The 21,266-nt window shown below is 34.1% G+C and overlaps 1 protein-coding gene across 7 annotated transcripts in view; it reads left to right on the plus strand.

Annotated features, from left to right (window-relative positions):
* The window catches only part of VPS50 (VPS50 subunit of EARP/GARPII complex), a 128,758-nt gene that overhangs the window by 42,360 nt on the left and 65,132 nt on the right, over positions 1-21,266 (plus strand). For 6 of the 7 annotated variants that reach the window (NM_001257998.2, NM_017667.4, XM_011516396.4 and 3 more), the window contains 3 exons: positions 1,440-1,580; positions 16,978-17,110; positions 19,820-19,911. In NM_001257998.2, coding sequence (NP_001244927.1) covers positions 1,440-1,580; positions 16,978-17,110; positions 19,820-19,911 — 366 coding nt within the window. Of the gene's footprint in view, positions 1-1,439; positions 1,704-16,977; positions 17,111-19,819; positions 19,912-21,266 lie in introns of those variants that run through there. The other variant, NM_024553.3, reaches the window with a different exon arrangement.

The raw sequence follows: 21,266 nt of genomic DNA on the forward strand, positions 1-21,266 counted from the left end.
AAGGCTATAGGTACCATAGATAGTGATTATTCTGATGGATCTGGGGAGAGTAAATTGAAAAGCGTCTGGATTTACCATATGCCATTAAGAACATTTGTGATTCCTCTGCTGGATCTCAGGAAAGTCAATTGAAAACCTCCCATAAAGGATTCACCATTCTAGGTGCCATTAAGAACATTTGTGATTCATGAGAGGAGGTCAAAATAGCAACATTAGCAGGAGTTTGGAAGAAGTTGATTCCAACCTTCATGATGACTTTGAGGGGTTCAAAACTTCAGTGGAAGAAATCACTGCAGATGTGGTAGAAACAGCAACAGAAGTAGAATTAGAAGTGGAGCCTGAAGATGTGACTGAATTGCTACAATCTTATGATAAAACTTGAATGGATGTAAGAATTGCTTCTTATGGATGAGCAAAGACAGTGGTTTCTTGAGATGGAATCTACTAGTGAACATGCCATGAACATTGTTGAAATAACAAGAAATAATTTGGGATATTACATAAACTTAGTTGATAAAGCAGCAGCAGGGTCTGAGAGGATTGACTGTAGTTTTGAAAGAAGTTCTACTGTGGATAAAATGCTATCAAACAGCATCGCATGCTACAGAGAAATATTTTGTGAAAAGAAGAGTCAACTAATGCAGGAAACTTCACTGTTGTCTTTTCAGAAATTGCCATAGCCACTTCGGCCTTTAGCAACCAGCACCCTGATCAGTCAGCAGCCATCAACATTGAGACAAGACCCTCGACCAGAAAAAAGATCGACTCACTGAAGGCCCAGATGATTATTAGCATTTTTTTAAATTTTAGCAATTTTTTAAAATTAAGGTTTATATGTTGTTTTTTAAAGACATAATGCTATTACACACTTTAGACTATAGAACAGTGTAAATGTAACTTTTATATACACTGGGAAATAAAAAAATTTGCTTTGTGAGGTATGCCTGTAAATGAATATGATGTCAGGTAGTAACAAATGTTACAAAGAAATATAAATCAGAGTATGTGGATGCAGAGATAGAAAGTACTGATTCATATAGGCTAGTCATGGAAGGTTCCCTGAGAAGATTACCATTGAGAAGTGCACTGAATGATATAAAAGAAGGAATACATGCAGAATGATGCAGAGGGTAATTAGAGATATGGTTGTGTACAACATATTTAAGAAAGAGCAAGATGAATACCAGTTATAAATAAAGAACAACAGAGCAGTGTTCACGAGTCACATTTATTTTGAGTGCTCTGATAATCTGGTTATGTGAAGGATTATTTGCAAATAATATACCCAGTATAATTTTCCCAGTATAATTCTGGGAAAACTATTATCTTTGTGTTGTAACTATTATTTGAAAAGATGTTTCCCTGGGTTTTTTCAATTTGTTGAAATTTATTTATTTTAATAATGTGAAATTATGTTGTGCGTTTTTTTCTTTCCACAGACAGCAATGGATCAACTTCATATGCACTTCACCCAAGCCATTCACAACACCGTGTTTCAAGTTGTTCTTGGTTATGTGGAACTATGTGCAGGAAACACAGACACAAAATTCCAAAAGCTGCAATATAAGGATCTCTGTACAGTATGTAGTGACTTAATTACTATTCATATATCTCTCCTTTAGATTTTAAATTTATATTTCCTTTATCTTGGTACATACCTATTTGAAAATGCTACTAAAATAAAAATAAATCTTTGCCAAAAATTTTTTTTCTCCCAAGTTGTTCTTTTCCTTATAGAGAAGTTGGAGGACTCAGTCACACAAATGGTAAAGGTTACTGAGATTGGAGCATGATTGCTTCTCAATCGACTCTTTACCATTTCATAGCTTCTTTTACCCATCTCTCTCAGGCTCCAAATTATCTCTTATGAATGCATCCAGTAGGCTTCTAAGCAACCATCATTGCTGGTTTTCTGTACAGATTTTCAACCAGTTTTTTCATGTGTATGAATGCTGCCTTTGTCAGCATCTGTAACTGGTTTTTTCTTTTTCTTTTTAAAGAAACATAGGTCTTTAGGTAATATAACCCAGCAGGTGAGAAGTGGACTGACTTGGGTTCTGTTTTAGAAGTAGGTCCTGCTGAGGAGTTGATGTAGACTGTGAGGAAAAGAGAATGATGAATAATTGGGAGAATGGTAGTGCCATTTGCTTTTATAGGGAAGACTGGGAAGGAACAGGACTTTGGTGAAAAATCATGAGCTCTGTTTGGTATCTATTAAACATTCAAGTGGACTTGCTGAGGACGCAGTTGCATAGAAGAACCTAGAGTGATCAGGGCTGAGTTTGTAAATTTAGGAGTCATCAGCATCTACTTGTATTTAAAGCCCTGATACCAGGTAAGAAGATTGAGGTGAAAGGGTATAAATAAAGAAGACATGAGGGCCCTGGGTCTTGTGACATTCAGGGGTTAGATAGAGGAATGAGACTAGTAGAGTCTTAGAGCAACTAGCTGGGTAGGAGGAAAACTAGGAGATGGTGGTGTCACAACAGCATGAAGAAGGAAGCATTTCAAGAAGAATGGAACCTATGTCAGATGCTGCTGAGAGTCTGAATATGGTAATATTAAAGGATTGACCACTTGATTTAACCATGTGGAGGTACTGTTTACCATGATTTCTTCCTTTAGCCTAAGAATGCGCTATGTCTCTCACTGGAGACATCCTTGAGTTTTCTCTAATGTCAAGTCAGGAAATTATAACACTTCTAGTAAGTAGATATCTATTCTGCTTTGTAATTGTGTCCAGGAATTAGTGTAAAAATAAGTAATCTTCATCCTTCAATGAATTTCTTTGTCAAACCTGCTGGTTATATGTCTGTTGGGTACTACAGAAATTTTCTTACCTGAGCTACAATAAGTATCCTGGAAGGGTGTGATTATATATGATGTATTAAAGATTAAGTTAATAACGACAGTGGATGTATGTTAATACGGCTAAAAATATCTTTTTAAACTAATTGTAGAAACCATGAGGACTGTTTTACAGATTTTATGATTACTAACTTTAAGTGTGATGTAGTTGCATAATTTTGTCTTTAAATGTTCAGTTTTAGGTATAGCTATCATTTGGTAAATATTAATAATTTTGAAATGTTTTGTTTATTGTTATTTTTCTTATTCATATATGTTCTTACTTTGATAGTATATATTATAAAATTACCCAATCACCTTTTTTATTCTAATAAGTTTTATTAATTTTTTTATTGTAATGTTGCTATCACTAATAGATGGTAAAGCAATTTATTATGTTAGCAATTTTTTTCTATTAAAGCAGAAAAGAACTCTTAAAAATTAAACCAAACATTTTAAACAAATTAGAGTTTTGTCTTTTCATCTTTTTAAATTTGGTTAAATCTGTTGTGTGTGTTTGTGTATGTATATTTTGCTTTCTTTTATTGACCATTTTTATATGCTTTTAAAAAAGTCAAAGACATAAATTGTGCTCATGCTTCATGAGAAAGCCCCTCTGTGCATTTATATAACAAAAAGCTGAAAGATATACTTGGCTTACAAATTTTTATGAACAAAAATTTGTGCTCAAGGTGTTTACCATTATGTTTCTTCTGAGTTTCTTTCACTTTTTAAAGAAGCTGACTGTAGGCTGGGCATGGTGGCTTATGCCTGTAATCCCAGCACTTTGGGAGGCCAAGGAGGCCAGGGGTTCAAGACCAGCCTGGACAACATGCAAAACCCTGCCTCTACTAAAAATACAAAAAAAAAAAATATTAGCTGGGTGTAGTGGCGCATGCCTGTAATCCCTGCTACTGGGAAGGCTGAAGCAGGAGAATTGCTTGAACCAGGGAGGTGGAGGTTGCAGTGAGCTGAGATCACACCACTGCACTCCAGCCTGGGCGACAGACTCTGTCTCAAAAAAAAAAAAAAAAAAAAGCTGAGTGTAAAATAATCTTTTGAAGTAGTTGTGTATATATTTAAATTATAAGATAATAAATAGCTTATCCTTATCCTTAGTTTCATCTTTAGTAAATACTTGTTAAAATTATCCCCAAGAAACTTCTGGTACTTTATTATAAAATTATCCATATACGTGTGATAGTAGGTGATATATATATATATATGTACATATATATACACACACACGTATATGTATATCTATAAGGAAACCAATGATTTATTAATATTTTGAAGTGTAGTCATAGAAAACATAATAGCAGGCTCATATATTATTATTTGTCTAACACAGTTGTACTTTTTTGGTATTTATTCAAGCTGTGCTAAAACATTAGTTGAAGTAGCTTTGGTTCGAATTGGTGAGAATAATAGCAAATATTGGCGATGGCTTAATGGAGGAATTTCTTTTTAAGAAAGGAGTTAACATAATAAGGTGAAGATTGTGATGCATATCAAGGTAACCCATTTTCTTTGGCTATTCTCAATAAAAAAATTAAAGAAGTTTAGAAATCATCCCAGGCCTTCTAGAAATTACCCCCAAGGCTCCTGGTCAGTGCTGCTACAGGCAGATATGAGTGCAGAAACCTTTTTGTAACCTGTTAATTTATTTTATAATATTGAGTCATATTTGATGGTTAAATCAGGTAAGATTTGGAAGAAATTCTTTCTTTCTAGTTCTGCTTATTTATTACCTAGTTTGATGAAAAGTTGTTAACTTTTAGTAACTGAGTTCTATAAAATATAGTGGTTAGCTGAGGAGAGGAAAGATAGAGGAGCTGAATAAAGAAGGTGATGAAATCTAAGTACATTTTCCTGGTGAGAAAAAATATCAAGGCATAACTCAGGCAAGAGAGATAATTCATGAAGGAACTTTGTATTAGAATGTAAGCTGCTTATTTTTCAATATGTGGCAGTGGGGGATCATTTTAGCCTGTGATTAAAAATAACTGATAATAATTATCGAAGATATACTTGTGTGAGAGCAAATGTGGCAGTGGGGCATCAGGTGAGCAAGAAGCAGGAGAGTCCTCAAAACATGTGCAGGGTGTTGACTGACATGAAATGAGAAGAAAGAGTCTAGGCATTTTGGCAGTTTATATCCTCTGTACAGTAGCAATGTTTTGAAGGAAGTGTTTAGTCATACATAGAGCTTAAAAATAACATTGAAAATTAAGATGAATGCTACAGAGTAAGAGGCAGATTTGAGTTCCTGTGAACAGGGAATAATTGTGCTTCCTTTAAATGGAAAGAGAGTGGAAATGAAAAGAGATAATCATCTGCTTGCTTTATGCATAGTATCATTTTAAACTATTCTTAGATATCAGCCTAAATGAGCTACAGTGAAATTGAACTAATTAAAAAAAAAAGAAAAACCTCTTGGAAATCTGAGATGAAATTAGTGTTCCGTTTTTATTTACTCTGGTATACAGAACCTCAAGTTCTTAAGGCCAGCAGCATCCCTTCCCAATCAATTTTCTGCCATTTGTTTCTATTCACCATTGCTCTGAGTTTAAAAGTTTAGTTGGTTTTGAGCTTTTTGAAATCATTTTGCAGTTGAATGTACTTTTTTTTCTTTACTAAACATGTTTTTAGAGTGGTTTAATTAGATGCATAGTTTTTATTGGTTGTCTTTCAGTCTGTTTTCTCTGCTTTTCTTGAATGTATTGGTTTACTGCTTTTACACTAGCTGTTTAGGTTCTTTTTTTAAAAAAAGTAGGTACATTATTTTGAAACCCAAATAAATCGCTAAAACTTAGCAGCAAGATTTCCAAATGAAAATTCATCATACTTCATTTCTGGAAAGGGAAAATATAAAGGACTCATAGTAGTACTTTTATTTACTTAAAAAATTAGGCCTTGTTTGTGATTGCATTTACATTTTGATGTACCCTACATATTTACACCAATTTGTGGAGAGATTTATAGACAACATTTGGAAGCTTTTAATTTAACACCTTTGTAGAGAAACCCTTTGTGGTTTATTTGAAAGTTTATGAAGTATTCATAAGGATTTTTTTTTCCTTTTTAAAAATAACATTACTTTGGCAGGCTGATGGGTTTTCCTGGGGAGCTTATTTCAAGATGCTAATTAGGATGTTATTGATTAATTTTAGGACAATGGAGTTGGCTAGGCTGCCTGAAGTTTTCTCAACTATTTTTAAAATTGTTCATTTCCAAATCATCTTAATGAGCTTTGAGTTCTGTTTTTATGATGAATTTCATAATGTAGTAAAAATATATGCTATGTAAAAATATACTCTCTCTGTATATATATATATACATACATACATACACACTCATATATTATTTGGGGGAAAATAAAATGTTTCTGTTAGAAAAAACTTTTGAAATTATTTCATTATGTGTTTTCATAGTGTCTGGCACATTGGAGGTGTTTCCTTAGTAATTGGATTGCCATATTTGTCTCCAACTGGTGTGGTGTTGACACAATTAGAGTCTGTTTAGGTTAAGTGAGAGGGAAAGAAAACCAACACTGAGCACCTTCTCTGAGCCATGTACTTTTACAGGTGCTTTATATTAGTACATCATAGACAAACTATAATATTAATCTAATGTCCCATTCTTATAGGCTTTTAAAGTTTCATTCTTAAAAACAGTATTTTTTGATACTGAATTATAATCATGTCGATTTTTTGGGAGTCAACCAATATCTTTAGTAAAGTCCCTGTAGAAAATAACAGTTTATTTTGTTATTAGTATAAAACCCCAAAGACAGATTCTTCTTTTGAGTGAAAACATGTTTCTGTTCCTAAATCCTCAGGATTTTTGTTTAGAATTAATATTTTCTCTCATCAGATACTGTGAGAGTGTATTGACTCTCTTTACTATGGATAATAAGCTGCAGGAAATTAATGCTAAAGTTAATGTTCATGTTTAGTACCCATTTTGTTTTGGGTTCTCTATAGAATTAACTGCTGCCTCCTTACCCTTTTTCTGTTTTCCGACTTCTTAAACTGGTATGTTATTTATATGTCTTTATGTTACTCACAGTCTTTATAGGGCTAGACATAATATAAGTTATATAAATAGTGGCTCAAATTAAGCAATCATTAATATACATTCTCTTAAAAATATGCATATTTTAAATTATACAACTAAAACATTAATTGTAGGAAAAGACACAAGCAAAAAGAAGAAAGTAAAAATTGCATATGTCTGCATGCAAAGCTGGTTCTTTTAATGTGTATATAAGCTGATAGCTTTTAAAAGTAGCTGCACAAACTGTTTTATAACTTTTTTGCCACTTGCTACATTATAAACAATTTTTCCGGCTGGGCGCGGTGGCTCACGCCTGTAATCCCAGCACTTTGGGAGGCTGAGGCGGGTGGATCACGAGGTCAGGAGATCGAGACCATCCTGGCTAACACGGTGAAACCCTGTCTCTACTAAAAATACAAAAAATTAGCCGGGCGTGGTGGCGGGCGCTTGTAGTCCCAGCTACTCGGGAGGCTGAGGCAGGAGAATGACATGAACCCTGGAGGCGGAGCTTGCCGTGAGCTGAGATTGCGCCACTGCACTCCAGCCTGGGGGACAGAGCCAGACTCCGTCTCAAAAAAAAAAAAACAAAAAACAATTTTTCTATTTCAGTAAATATGCTACTTGCATAATTTTTAATGACCAAACGGTATTTCACTGTAAGTGATGCTGTGGATTAATTAACTGCTTTCCTGTTCTTGGATATTTATGTTATTTCCAGCTTTTGTCATTATGAACAGCACTGTAGTAAATATTCTTAAAGCTAAATCTTTGTGTACATCTTTATTTCTTTAGGATAAATCACGAGAAATGAAATTGCATTGTCTGTCAAAGCTTTACATTTTAAAGGCTTTTGGTTTGTCTTTCCTAAATTGCCCTATAAAAAATGGTATTTCAATTTACACTCCTGATCAGCAGAGTCTGCATTTATCCCTTTCCCTGAGCACATGAATGCTGATTATCTTTTATTTAATACCATAATTATCAGATGCCAGAGGTAGCATATCAAAAATAATTTGTGTTGCATATCAATCAGTCATGTTTGGGATGGTAAGGAGGTTAAACGACGTTTCATTGATTGTTGAGGTTAATTTGCTTGATGTGGTTGAATAGGTGAGTAGACCTTTCTTGCTGAATGCTACAAATTTGAATATTTGGTTGAAGAGAGAAACCTTTTCACTTCAAAGAATATTATCATTTACTTGGTTTGCTCAGGTCAGTTTCAGAATGAACTAAGAATTCAGCTGTCAGATTTATTCTTATCACATATATGGAGTGCCTAGCTAATTTTGTAGTATATAATTTTATGTAATGATTTCTAAATTAAGTAGGTTTTGATAATTTTTAAAATTAAAACTTAATGACCAAAAGGTAGGTAAGGAAAGTTTATTTGTTTCTTCCTTTTTTTTCTTGCCATTTTCTCTCTGGATCATCAAAAATTGTGAGGAGTCTGAAATTTTATTCTACTTGCAAATTAATAAGCTAGCCTGTTACTATTTCCTGGATGCTGGTAGAAGACACAGACTTCATATTCTTAGCACTATAACTTGTTAAGTGTAAACCAGTTCACTTGTCATTACTGAGCTTTTTTCTTTTTCTTTTCTTTTTTTTTTTTTTGAGGCGGAGTCTCCCTCTGTTGCCTGGGCTGGAGTTCAATGGCGTGATCTTGGCTCGTTGCAACCTCCACCTCCCGCGTTCAACAGGTTCAAGTGATCCTCCTGCCTCAGCTTCCCAAGTAGTTGGGATTACAGCTCCCACCACCACACCCGGCTAATTTTTGTATTTTGATTAGAGACGAGGTTTCACCATGTTGGTCAGGCTGGTCTCGAAATCCTGACTTCAGGTGATCCACCTGCCTTGGCTTCCCAAAGTGCTGGGATTATAGGTGTGAGCCACCGCGCCTGGCCTACTGAGCTTTTCTTACTCAGTCGTCAGTTTTCTTACTCAGTCATCAGTTCAGATCAGCAAGGACAAATAAGACTTTAAAGTAATAATCTAGTTAAGGTCACATTAATTATGATCAGAGGTAGAATAAGAAAAGGTCAAATGGCATAAAGTATCCAAGGAGTCAAAATATCTCTTTAAGGTTTGCAAGGGAGGAAAAAGTTGGGTCTTAGATTTCAACAGGCACAACAGGAACAGTGTGTGTCCAGGAATGGAAAGGAAATATCATGAGCAATGCCATGAGAGTAGGAAAGCACAGGGCAGGTGAAAGGAATAGTAGATTGTCTGGCTTGGTTTAACCGGATTTTTTAGTATGGTGGTTTGGTTGTTTCTAATGCACCCAGGGAATAATGAGTGCCTATGGAGCACATGCTTTGGGTAACCATTTATCTGAGTAACTAGTGTTAACTGTCTTGGCTGGAAGTGGAGGGGTGTTCCAGGTCTGGCAAGGCCTCTATATTGTTCATGTCTAAGAACTCTTAACATTATCAATGTAATTTAGACTGCTGGATGATTTTTTTAGGGAGGGGGATTGGATTGGAGATAAAAAAGAGCCAACCTATCTTTATATGGTGGCACACAGCTTCCAGCAGAAAGAAAAAATAATTTACTAGTGGGAAACCGTTTTTGGGCCACCTTGCCCAACAGGAAACCATTTTTGAAACCTCCCAAACACCTGATTATTTGATAGTGTTTTTATATTTAAATACTGCCTTTTTTTGTGTGATCTCAGGCAGCGTGAGGGTTAATAGCATCTTATAACTTGAAACTTTGAAAGATAATTATATATTCTGATTATACATACTTTGCTTGTTTTCTAATATTGAGCTGTCTATTTGATTAAGGCCATTTAACAGCAATTAGAATAACCTGCCAACTAAAGAAGAACTTTTTATTTCACAATTTAACGGGTGCTAGTTACTTAATTCCAAGTTGGGATTATTTATATCATACATATTACATGTCTTATGTGTATATACATATTTAGCATTAATGATAAAATGCCGTAGATGAGAATGAGTGTTTTTCTCCCCGATTATATTTGTTTTTAAATCATGAATGAATCCAGTGAGTTGCAAGGAAAGTTTTGCTAAAAGCATATGCATATTTTTGTCTATGGAGACTCATAGCTTTTAAAGCTTCAGAGGGACTCTAGGAGATTTGCTTTAACCCTTGGGGTTTAGATACATGAATTGCTATGCAGGAGTCATGATCAAGTAAGTGACAAAGTTGGGCTCCAAGCCCAAACATGTTTCATCTAGTTCAGTGCTCTTTCCACTATGCAGTACTACCTCTCTGGTTTCCAATGGCTGGAAACTTCTTAAGATAATCATATTTCATACAGCTAGGCCCTCACAGAAGTAATTAGATATTGGAGTAATTAAATATTAGATACTGGCTCAGACACTTCCATAGGTCCAGAGTTACCCCCAAAGATGTTTTCAACTCCCTGGGCCTGGTGCTGTTTTGACCAGCAGCATATTTTCAGAAGCCACTCAGATAAGCAGGATTCTCCCCAGCAGCTTCTGATGATGTGAGCTCATAGTACTAACAGCATTCATCTAAAGATACTGATAACCAACCCTTTGTTGTTTTTTGAAATCCATCTATCACTGTGTGTGTGTTTTGGGGGGTGGAGGCACTGGGAATTTTGGATCTCTGTGAGGATGCCAAAACATCTGTTCCCTTTATGTTTGTTAGGATGTGATTAGAGTGCTAAATCAAAACGTGGAATAAGAACAAAATAATTCATTACAACCATCCCTAAGACTTTTCATTTTGATGCTCTAATATAAAAAGCATTACTTTGAAATTTTTGTAGGGATTTAGTAATAGAGATTTCTTATAAGTATTAAAGTAAATTATAGAATAAAAAGCAAAAGACTAGCAGCTTTTCCTCCCGTATTTACTACTTTACTTTGCATTTAAATAACTTTCAGAAGATGACATTCTTTTATTGTGTGCTTCAAACTTATAAAGGCTGCTTATATTAATTTCTGGATTTACACTGTTCTTTGAAAATGGCCTCAACTTATATTTTATAATCAAGACTGAGATGTTGCTGGTTTTGATAAGCTAGTTTCATCATTTTTATTTTAACCAGGTAGGTTGGCTGAGGTGGTTAATAGAAGAAATGGAAGGTGCCAAGTGTTACTGTGAACTGACAGTGATAAGAGATGGGAAATCAGATTTGTGGATTTTGTGAAAGTGTTAATCAAAATTGGATTAAGGAATGAATTGTGGCGTTGGAATGTGAAGCATAGTGGAAATGCTGTGAGCTTCTTGCATGGAACATCCAGTTTCTTCATCTTCTCCAAATCCTTCCTCCTAGGATATTTGTTTACCTTTTATGATCGCCAAATTTATTAGACATGTATGTTGTCTCTGTTATAGAGTTTATGGATTTTTTTTAAATTAGGATGGTTAAAATTTCCTTTTTTTTCTGTGCATTTCTTGGGATATTTCCCAAAGATTATATGCCTATTTTATCTTTTCCCCTCACTTTACAGTCTTTGCTAAATAAATTGAAGCTAATAGCTTTAAGTGGAAGAGTAGCAGTGGAAAATAGTTTTAGAACACAGGGAAATATTTGGTAATTAAATTTCGATTTCTTATCTATTCTTAAAAAAATTTCAAGATATGTTATTTAGCTCTTGGGGATGTCTTACTATGTGAATATTTTGTAAATTGATTCAATCAATACTTTCATTGCTATTTTCCATATGTGATGTGAACATAGAACTGGGATTATAATATGGTGCTCCTCTGCTATGATATTCCTAGTATTATGCCAAATGAGTCTCCCCTTCACCTGAACTGAGTTTCAATGTTAGGTATTTAGTAATAAATGAATGACTTCAACCAGTGATGAAATAGGAAGATACAAGTATCTCTAACACGTTTATGAAAGGTGAAGCTGAGAACCAGAGTGGTTTATTATCTAAGGCATGCGACTGTAAGTTTGTGGAACTAGTGCCAGCTGGAATCCAGGGATTCCAATTCTTAATTTAGGTCTCTTTCCATTATGCTCTGCAGATGTGAAGAATTGATGCTTGGGTGGAACACTCAGGTTCCTCTTATTAGCCTGCCTTTTATTTTTTGATTACCTGTGTAATTATTTGCTTATTCTCTGGCTTCATTGAATCTCTCTGGTTATGATTCATTCATGTCTTTGTAATAAAATTCTCGATTTGAAATTTGGAGGTCATTTTTATAAAGTAGAAAATACTAGTTGCAAATAATTTTAGTTAAATGATGTTAAAAGCATGAGAAGCATTTGTCACTGTGACAATTGACACCAGTTGGTTGCATGGCATAATGGAAAGGGGCTCAATTTTAAAATGAAATAACTCTTTTAACTTATTGCCAGTATAACCTTCAGAGATTAACATAGCTGGGCTTAAATTTGTTGAAAACGTTGTTTTTTTTTTTTTTTTAAAAAAAAAACTACCCCACCTTGCCTTTTTTCCTTAAACTATTTATTGTATATGTATTTAATAAAATGGTCTTTACGTTTGTTCCTTTTTTAGAATATGAACTTAGGCAAGAATCATCTTGTTTGCTGGTGCTGCGTGTATCATAGTCTTATGTTTGTACATGTGAATATATTTGAAGATAATAAATTTGGGTCCTTTTGGGAGACATTTAGGTATGTGCAGTGGTTTAGCTAGATCTCTGGATTATTTACACTTGAATCAGTTCAGTGAGAAGAAAGCCTTGCTATAGCTTCACTAAGTAACTTTAACTTTTTATGAAAAAAAGATTCACATAAACATCTGTGTGTGTATATCTCATCCAAACCCATTAAATTTCAGCAAATCCTCAAGAGATAACATAATGAAGGACCTCTTTTTTTTTTTTTTCAAATAAATAGGCATATAATGAGCTGGACAGTGGTTGGGTGGAAAATAGAAGATAGTAGGTTTAAGTTTTAATTTTCTGGTTTGTTAAACTGTGACAAGTATAATAGAAATTAATTATAACACAATTATTTGTACAGTCATAATTTTTCTTTGGGAAAAAATATGACTAACATTGCCTTTTTCTTATCTACCAGAAAGAATGTTGAGCTATACTTAGATTAAATTTGTTTGCATAATATACACATTTATGCGAAGTTGGGCTAATAAAAGTTAGAACTACTGACTTGTAGAGGAGTACCTTTATTTGGGTATGATTGCTGAGTTGCAGCCCAGAACTTTTTGGGATTTTTGCTTTGCCTTGTTCTTGGAAAAGGTTTTTAGTCTTTTCTTGACCCTGTGCATTAGTATTGGCTTTCGTCATATGTGTATGGTGTAAGAGGTATGTCAGGTATAATTTTGTGCTAAAAATAAACCAAGTGTATTAGTCTGTTCTCACGCTGCTAATAAAGGCACATCCAAGACTGGGTCATTTATAAACGATAGAGGTTTAATTGACTCACAGTTCCACATGACTGGGGAGGCCTTACAGTCATGGCGGGAGGCAAATGAGGATTAACGTCTCATCTTACCTGTTGCTGGCAAGAGGGCTTGTGCAGAGGAACTCTCACTTACAAAACCATCAGATCTCATGAGACTTATTCACTATCATGAGAACAGTATGGGGAAAACCGCCCCGCCCTTGACACATGGGGATTATTACAACTCAAGGTGAGATTTGGGTGGGGACAGACACAACCAAACCATATCACTAAGGGAAAACATTAAGACTGGCTCATTGTAAGGGTAGCGATTATAGAAGTAAATGTGAGAGATTACCCAAAATTGTTTTTCACAGCTGCAAAGTACTCTTTTGTATGTATGAATAATGTTCTACCAATCTCCTGTGTTTGGACATTTAAATATATTTCAGTGTTTTGCAATTACAAATAATCCTTTAATAAATAACATGGTGCATATGTATTTTCACATTGTTTGAGGTATACCTTCAGTATAAATTCCTAGAAGTAGAATTGCTAGGTTGAAGAAAAAATACACACGTAGGTTTTGTTAGATCGTGACAAATTCCCCTCCTTGGGATTGTACTATTTTGCATCAGCAATGTATGAGAGTGCCTGTTTCATCACAGCCTTGCCAACAGAGCATATATGATGTCAAAGATAAAGCCAGATACTAAAGTGTTGAGGACAGGTTTTAATCAGAAGATATTATTGTAATAGGGAAAAGAGTCCAGTGTGAACTGATTCAACTTTGATTTATACAATGGTGACTGGGCATTTTTTAAAGGGAAAATGAGGGAAGGGGTTGAGCAGGGGCTTAGTGGAGTCAGAAAAGTGAACATTTACTAGTGAGAAGGGAGTCGGTCCACGTGAAACCCATTTGTGTTTGCTAACTGATGTTTATGGTGGTTAGTCTCCTACCCTCTCACAGAGACTGGGGGACAGGGGCCCTATCTTCAGATGTTGGAACAAACAGTACATTTTTTTTTTCAAGTACATTGGCAGCCTTGAGTTTTTTCAGGCCGGCATTGTAAGGTGGGGCTGAAGTCATCCTAGGGATGTGGCTTGAGCCATTAGAAACTCTGTTAGGTGTTTCATCCAAGTTTTTTTTAGGCCGTGGTTAAGAAGATAGCTCAGAGGAGCCTGACTAGAGTTTGGTTAAGGAGAGAATCTTTGTCAGTGGTCAACTTTAAGATTGAGATTGGTGAGAATCTTTGAGATTGGTGAGAATTTGCATCTTATTGTAGTTTTAACTTACATTTGTCCTATTACAAGTAAAACTACACATGCTTTTCTGTGTTGAAGGGCCATTTTTGTATCTCTGTTTATGAAGTGTGTTCATGTGCATTTTTTCTCATTTTTTTGATAGGAGTTTTAGTCTTTTTTTCCCCAAACTTTTAAGAATTCTATATAAATGTGGAATATCAGCTCTTTATTGTGAATATATGTTGTGAATATTTTACAGAGTTGTCATTTGTCTTTTGACCTCACATATGGTGTTTTTTGCTATACAAATTGTACTTATATTTTTATATAGTAAAATCAAATGTTACTTTTATTACTTGTAAATTTTGTGTTGTAATTAGAAAGTCTTTTTCTATATCAATGTTAGAGAGAAATTGATTCATGTTTTCTTCTAGTATAGTTTTATTTTTGACATTTAAATCTCTTATTCATTTGGAGTTTATTCTTACGTATTCTGGAGGAATATGTCTAATTTTATGTTTTTCCAGCTAACTATACAATTTTCCCAAAACTATTTGTAAAGAAAACACTATCTTCATCTAAGTGATGTGCGATGCCATCTTTATCATATACCAGATTTGTATATGAGACCAGATCTTTTTCTGTACTTTTTTATTGCTATCTCAGTAAATTTATAAATTAAGGAAAATTGACATCTTGATGATGTTGAGACATCCTAACCAAGAATAAGGGATTTCTTTCCATTTGTTCAAGTCTATTTTTATGTCTCTTGGGAGTGTTTCATGGTTTTCTTCTTGGTTTTCAATCATTTCTTATTAAATTCCTAAAAATTCTCTCTTGTTATTATAAATGAGGGTTTCTCATTCAGTGTCTCTTCTAAATGTTTATTTGTATACAAATGCCATTGGTTTGGGCATGTACATTTTACAACTTGCTACTTTGCTGAATTCTTTTATTGTTTGAATTAGTTTTATTATTGGTTCTCTAGGAATTTCTGGGCATATTTTTATGTCATTAGCGGATATAAATAGTTTCATTTTTTCTTGTCCTATTCTTTTGCCTCTGTTTTCTGTAATCTAATTGCATTAGCTTGTACTTCTGAATCATTGTTAAATACCAGCCCATATGCTGTGAATCAAACAAAGAAATTATTGAATTAGCAGGTGTTCTCATAAATAGCAGTGTAAACAGTTAAACAGTAGTGGAGATAATGGGCATCTTTTTTTTTTTTTTTTGTGACCACAGGGGTTGTGCCTTAGAGTTTTCTCATATTAAGGAAATACCTATTCATTCTTATTTCCTCATATGTTTTTGTTAGGAGTGGGTTTTGAATTTTCTTAAAGCCCACTTTGAGAAATTTTTTTTGATCAGCACCTATTGAGATAATCATTTGATTTTTCTCCTTAGACCTATTAATAGAGCAAATTATATTAATAGATTTTGTAAGATTAAGCCATTCTAGCATTCTTGGCATAAACCCCACAGTCTTAATTTCAAAGATTTGATATACTTACATGGAAGTGTAGTAAATCATGTAAGCTAGTATTTTTATTACTTGCCAAATGAATGTTTTGGTGAATGAGTTTAGAGGGAGAGATCATTATGGGAAGAAAAAGCCTTTTGAAAGAGCAAGGACCACTACCAACTGTGACATCATGAGCATCAACCACACACCATGGCAATACTTGCCATAGCTTATTTCTACTAGCTGTTTATCTTGGGGAGTTTACTTACACCAGAGTCTTCAACTTTCAATATTTCATCAGCATAAGTTGTAGTCGATTGATCACAAACTAAATAAATGCTAGAAAATCTCAAATGATGGAGCAATTGCTGCATTATGACAAATGGGAAGCCTGCAAAATAGAATAAAATAAAAGGGCAGAATGGCAAATTGGTTGTTTTTACAAAGGGAAGCAAAATTCATGCACTTCCATTAAGGAGAGTATTTGAGTTCATATATTGTTTCATAGCCTTGTTTATGTTAGAAGTTATTTTAAAATGTTATTGTCAGATATAGAATATCTATTCCATACGATTTTAAAAATTTAGAGATTGTCAAAGATGTTTACTTAATTTACACAAATGAAATGACAGAATTGTAAATCCAACCTTCTTTTTGCAAGAAGGCCTGAGGTCCAGGCTATGTAAAGCTGTATTTGCATGTTTAGGATCATGTCTTTCAAAAAATGCATTTGGGGATGTTTACACTGCTATTTATGGGACCAGTTGCTAATTCAGTAATTTCTTTATGGTTCTGTAACTACAGATTGATTCACAGCATATGGGCTGATATTCTTAATGTGTACGAAAAAGCCATGTTGAGATGGGAATTATTTAAAAATTTTTTTTCTCCCCATTGAATTTTCTCTTTAGATATGTCAGTTGAAGAAATTTTCTTGGTTATTTCTAATTTTTGAATATATTTGATTAATAACCTATTTTATTATAACTGTTAGAGTAAACATAATAATTTGAAAGTTGTCTCTTATCATTTTCTTTAGCATGTTACACCAGACAGCTATATTCCATGCCTTGCAGACCTGTGCAAAGCACTATGGGAAGTTATGCTCAGCTATTATAGGACTATGGAATGGCATGAAAAGCATGACAATGAGGATACTGCTTCAGCTTCTGGTAGGAAAATATTTTTATTTTATTTTAAAAATTGAACTATAAATATCCCACATTACTGGAGTAAGAAGAAAGGAAAGGGGCAGGAATGCCTTTGGGATTTCAAAGATTACAGTGACCATAGGCTAAATATTGAGCAAAGAAAGTGATTCAGCTACTTCAAATGTTCTATTACCTTTAGAGAGTAACTGGGCCAAAGGACTTTTTAAGTGGCACATAGTACTAGTTTCCAGAAGTGTGTGCTGATGGCTTTAGGACTGAATTTATAAATTTTTGTTGTTGTTAATATTATTAGTTGCAAACTAGATAAGACATTGGTCTGTCTAAGTTTACTGTGAAATTAATGCTAGATGGTCAATATTAATCTATTTAGCCAATTTTCAAGTTACAGTAATAAAGCTAGGTTCTAAGAATTAATTATATTGATACTTTCCTTCCTGAAAATGAAGCAAGACTAGAATTTCATTTTCAAAATGATGTTTTAAAATATTCATCTTTGAATGGAAAATATAACTTTAAATGACTGTGGTACAGTCAGCTAAATAATAAAGAATACGTCTTTGAAAAATTATTGTATTTATTAATCATTCTATTTAAATTGCTTCATTTGTATAATTATATATCTTAACTGATTATCCTTGAACAGTAGCTGAGATTGAATATTCAGAATACTTATAAAAACAGTAAATGATTTTATCAGCATTTTGTTTAATATGGATAAAATAAATTATACTGCACATCTTTTTTTTTGTATTATATACAATTTATTGTAGCTATTCAATCAAGTTACTTTAATAAACTTCCAGTTTCTGAGGGGCTTATTTTCTGTTGTTGGGTGAGTGGACAACACACCCAAATCTCACTGTTTGATTAAATGTTTTGGTAGTTTAGAAGGCATAGGTTTAATCTTTGTCTTGACTTACAAGAAGCTTGTAAATATAGAAAACAAAATAAGAGGAAAATTCCATGAATGGATTTTTATCCATTTGGAAATATTGTTGGGGAGAGTAAAGGAAGGGAGAGAAAGGCAGAGAGAAGGTTGGGCACACAGCCAGGATTCCAGGTCAGACTACTTTTACCCAAAACTTATACTTTTACCCTGTACTACCCCTGGGACCATGAGCTCTGCGATCTGAGAGGCCTGGCTTCAAGTTTTCACTTCTATTTACCAAAGGTGAGAACTTGAAGACACTGCTTATTTTTCCCATTCTTCAGTTTGCTCCTAAAATTGGTCAGTTAAAAAGCAAAGCAAAACCAAACCAAACCCTTAGAGTAGTAACGCATCTACCCTGCAGGGTTGTTGTAAAGTTTGGACAGCATGTAAGGTACTTATATTGGTGGTGGTTAATATGATGAAATGAAATGGATCAAGAGATAATATAATAATAGTGAAATACCTGGAGACTGTTAAGACATATTTGCTTTTCTAGTACATTATTTAAGGAGAAACCAAAGAAAACGTTTGGAATAGAATTAACACATATTTTAGATATCAGAATTTAGGTGACAGTTATGTATATATTCATCATGGTAAAGCTTGCTTTTTGCTTTAGGCCAATAGTTTACATTCGTTGGAATACTGAGTCAAAGTGAAAACTCTATCTGATCCTTATTACTCAACCCTCTTTGCCTAATCTGTATATTTTATGGATATTCAAGTGCTCAAGCTGTCAGCTGATAGTATCTAGGACTATAAAAAGTTACTTGTTCACCTGAAATTAATCCTTTTATATTCAGGAATAAAATTGTAGAAATTAGTAAATTGAAAATTACTTTTCATGGAACTTCATAAAACTGAAGAGGACTCTAGACTTTATCTGCTGTATCTCTTTAGTGATAATATTTGATACTGTTTGGTAACCTAATACTTTAACGTTCTAAGGTAAAGCTCTAAAGCTATAGTTCAGGTGCACTGCCTTAGGCTGCTGGATCCCTAACAGCCATACCATGGGTGTAATAATAAGGCTTACGTTTTAGGAGTGCTCAGAGGCAAACTTGTCATGCATCTGTGTATCTGAGGCCTGGCATTTCCAAGGACCTTTTACTGGTTATCAGTGGATAACTTCCCAACCTAAGACAAGATGATAACATACTCACTTAGTTGTTCTTCACAGGATATTCACACAAAAGTTTCATCTTTTTAATATAAATGTGTATGTGTCTTTTTCAGTTGTCTTTAGGGCGGAGATTGGAGGCAGATCACTGATCTTATCTATTAAACTAGACATTGTTAAATTATTTATCTGGAGTGGATAAAACTATTATTTATCATGAAAAATATAAAATATATGCATTATCACCTCACGCCTGAGTTTTAATGTAGACTATCCTCTTAGCACGCATATTAATTGATAATTCAGTTAATTGGTCCTGTAATGCCCTTCTCACAGCCTTTTACATGGTCTTGCAGTAGGCAGTATTGAGAACCTGGTCTCTGGGACCACACTGACTCAGGTAGAATCCCAACTCAGTCACATATGATCTCAGTGGTCTTAGGTATATTTAGCATTTCATAGTCTACGTTTATTTGTCTCACCAAATGGGTTTAAGTCTAATACCTATTGTTTGATATTGTTTTGATTGTATAAATATCAAACATATTTACTGTATCTTACATAGACTTACAATGTGTGAGAGGCCAAATAGAAATTATTTGGAAAACAAACACAAATTGGATTAAATCTAAAAATATATATTGTCTTTTATTTTCAGAAGGGAGTAATATGATAGGTACTGAAGAAACTAATTTTGATCGTGGCTACATAAAAAAGAAATTAGAACATGGACTTACACGAATATGGCAGGTTTGGTTTTTTTAAAATTATTTTTTTCACAGAAGCAATAGAAATGTCATGTCATAGTTTTAGAAATTCAGTTTTAAGTTTTCTATATATGTATTCTTTGCAGATTTAATCATATGTTTCTGTTTGGAATTAGGCTATCATTTAATTTCTGTAATGTATTTGGACTATAAGTGGCAGGAAAAAAGTTTTTTAATTTGAAAATCTCCACTGGAAATATTCATACATGTCTTGAGTACATCTTTTGTTTTAGAGGCCTAGCAAATTTCCACTATCATAGAGAAATGTATGCTTTCTCAGTGAGATGTTCTGTTTATTATTTCATTTATCTGTGTTTTCTTAATTTTTTTTTCTGTTAATTTTAGAAAAGGAGTAACTAAGTAGATAGCATACTTAGGTCAGATTATAGTTTAGAATGAATAATTCTTTTTTTCTCAGTCAATGATCTTTGTACCTTGAGGGAATCTTACATGCTTATTGGCTGAATATATCTGGTTTTAGTCCATTTGGGCTCCTATAACAAAATATTCTAGACTGCATAGTTTATAAACAGAGAAGTTTATTTCTTAGAATTCTAAAGGCTGGAAGTCAGAGATCAGGGTGCCAGCATTGTTGGGAGGGAGGGCCTGCTTCCTGGTTCATAGACATTGTCTTGCTGTATCCTCAAATAGTGGAAGGGATGAAGGAGCTCTCTGGGGTCCCTTCTATAGGGGAACTAATCTAATTAATGAGGGCTCTACCTTCACGATTTAATCATCTCACAAAGGCCCCACCTTCTAATATATTATCACCTTGGAGGTTAGAATTTCAGCTTCGGAATTTTGGGTAGACATGAACATTCAGACCATAGCAGTATCTTATTAAGTTTTTCTTTACAATTTAGTAACTCAGTTGTTGTAATCAGATAATTTGTTACTTCTTAGATCACAGTGTAATTTCTTTGAAGATAACTTACTCTTTTTGGACTTCTTTGAACCTTGGAAGACTATAGACCCTTTGGCCATGTTATGGTCTTTTAAAATGTATTTTTGATTTTTCTAATGAGGCTGATCTTTATTTTGACCATCTTTTTTTTTCTTTCTTTCTTTTGATTGATTGATTGATTGATTGAGACAGGGTCTCACTCTGTCACCCAGGCTGGAGTGTGGTGGCAGAGTCATGGCCCAGTGCAGCCTCGACCTCTTGGGCTCAGGTGATCCTTCTGCCTCAGCCTCCTGAGTAGCTGGGACCACAGATGTGCACCACCATGCCTAATTTTCTTAAATTATTATTGGTGGATATGGGGTCTTGCTATGTTGCCCAGACTGGTCTTGAACTCCTGGGCCCAAGTGATATTCCTGCCTTGGCCTCCCAAAGTG

The sequence above is a fragment of the Homo sapiens genome, chromosome 7 (genome assembly GCF_000001405.40).
Source record: "Homo sapiens chromosome 7, GRCh38.p14 Primary Assembly".
In the NCBI taxonomy this organism is placed as follows: domain Eukaryota; kingdom Metazoa; phylum Chordata; class Mammalia; order Primates; family Hominidae; genus Homo; species Homo sapiens.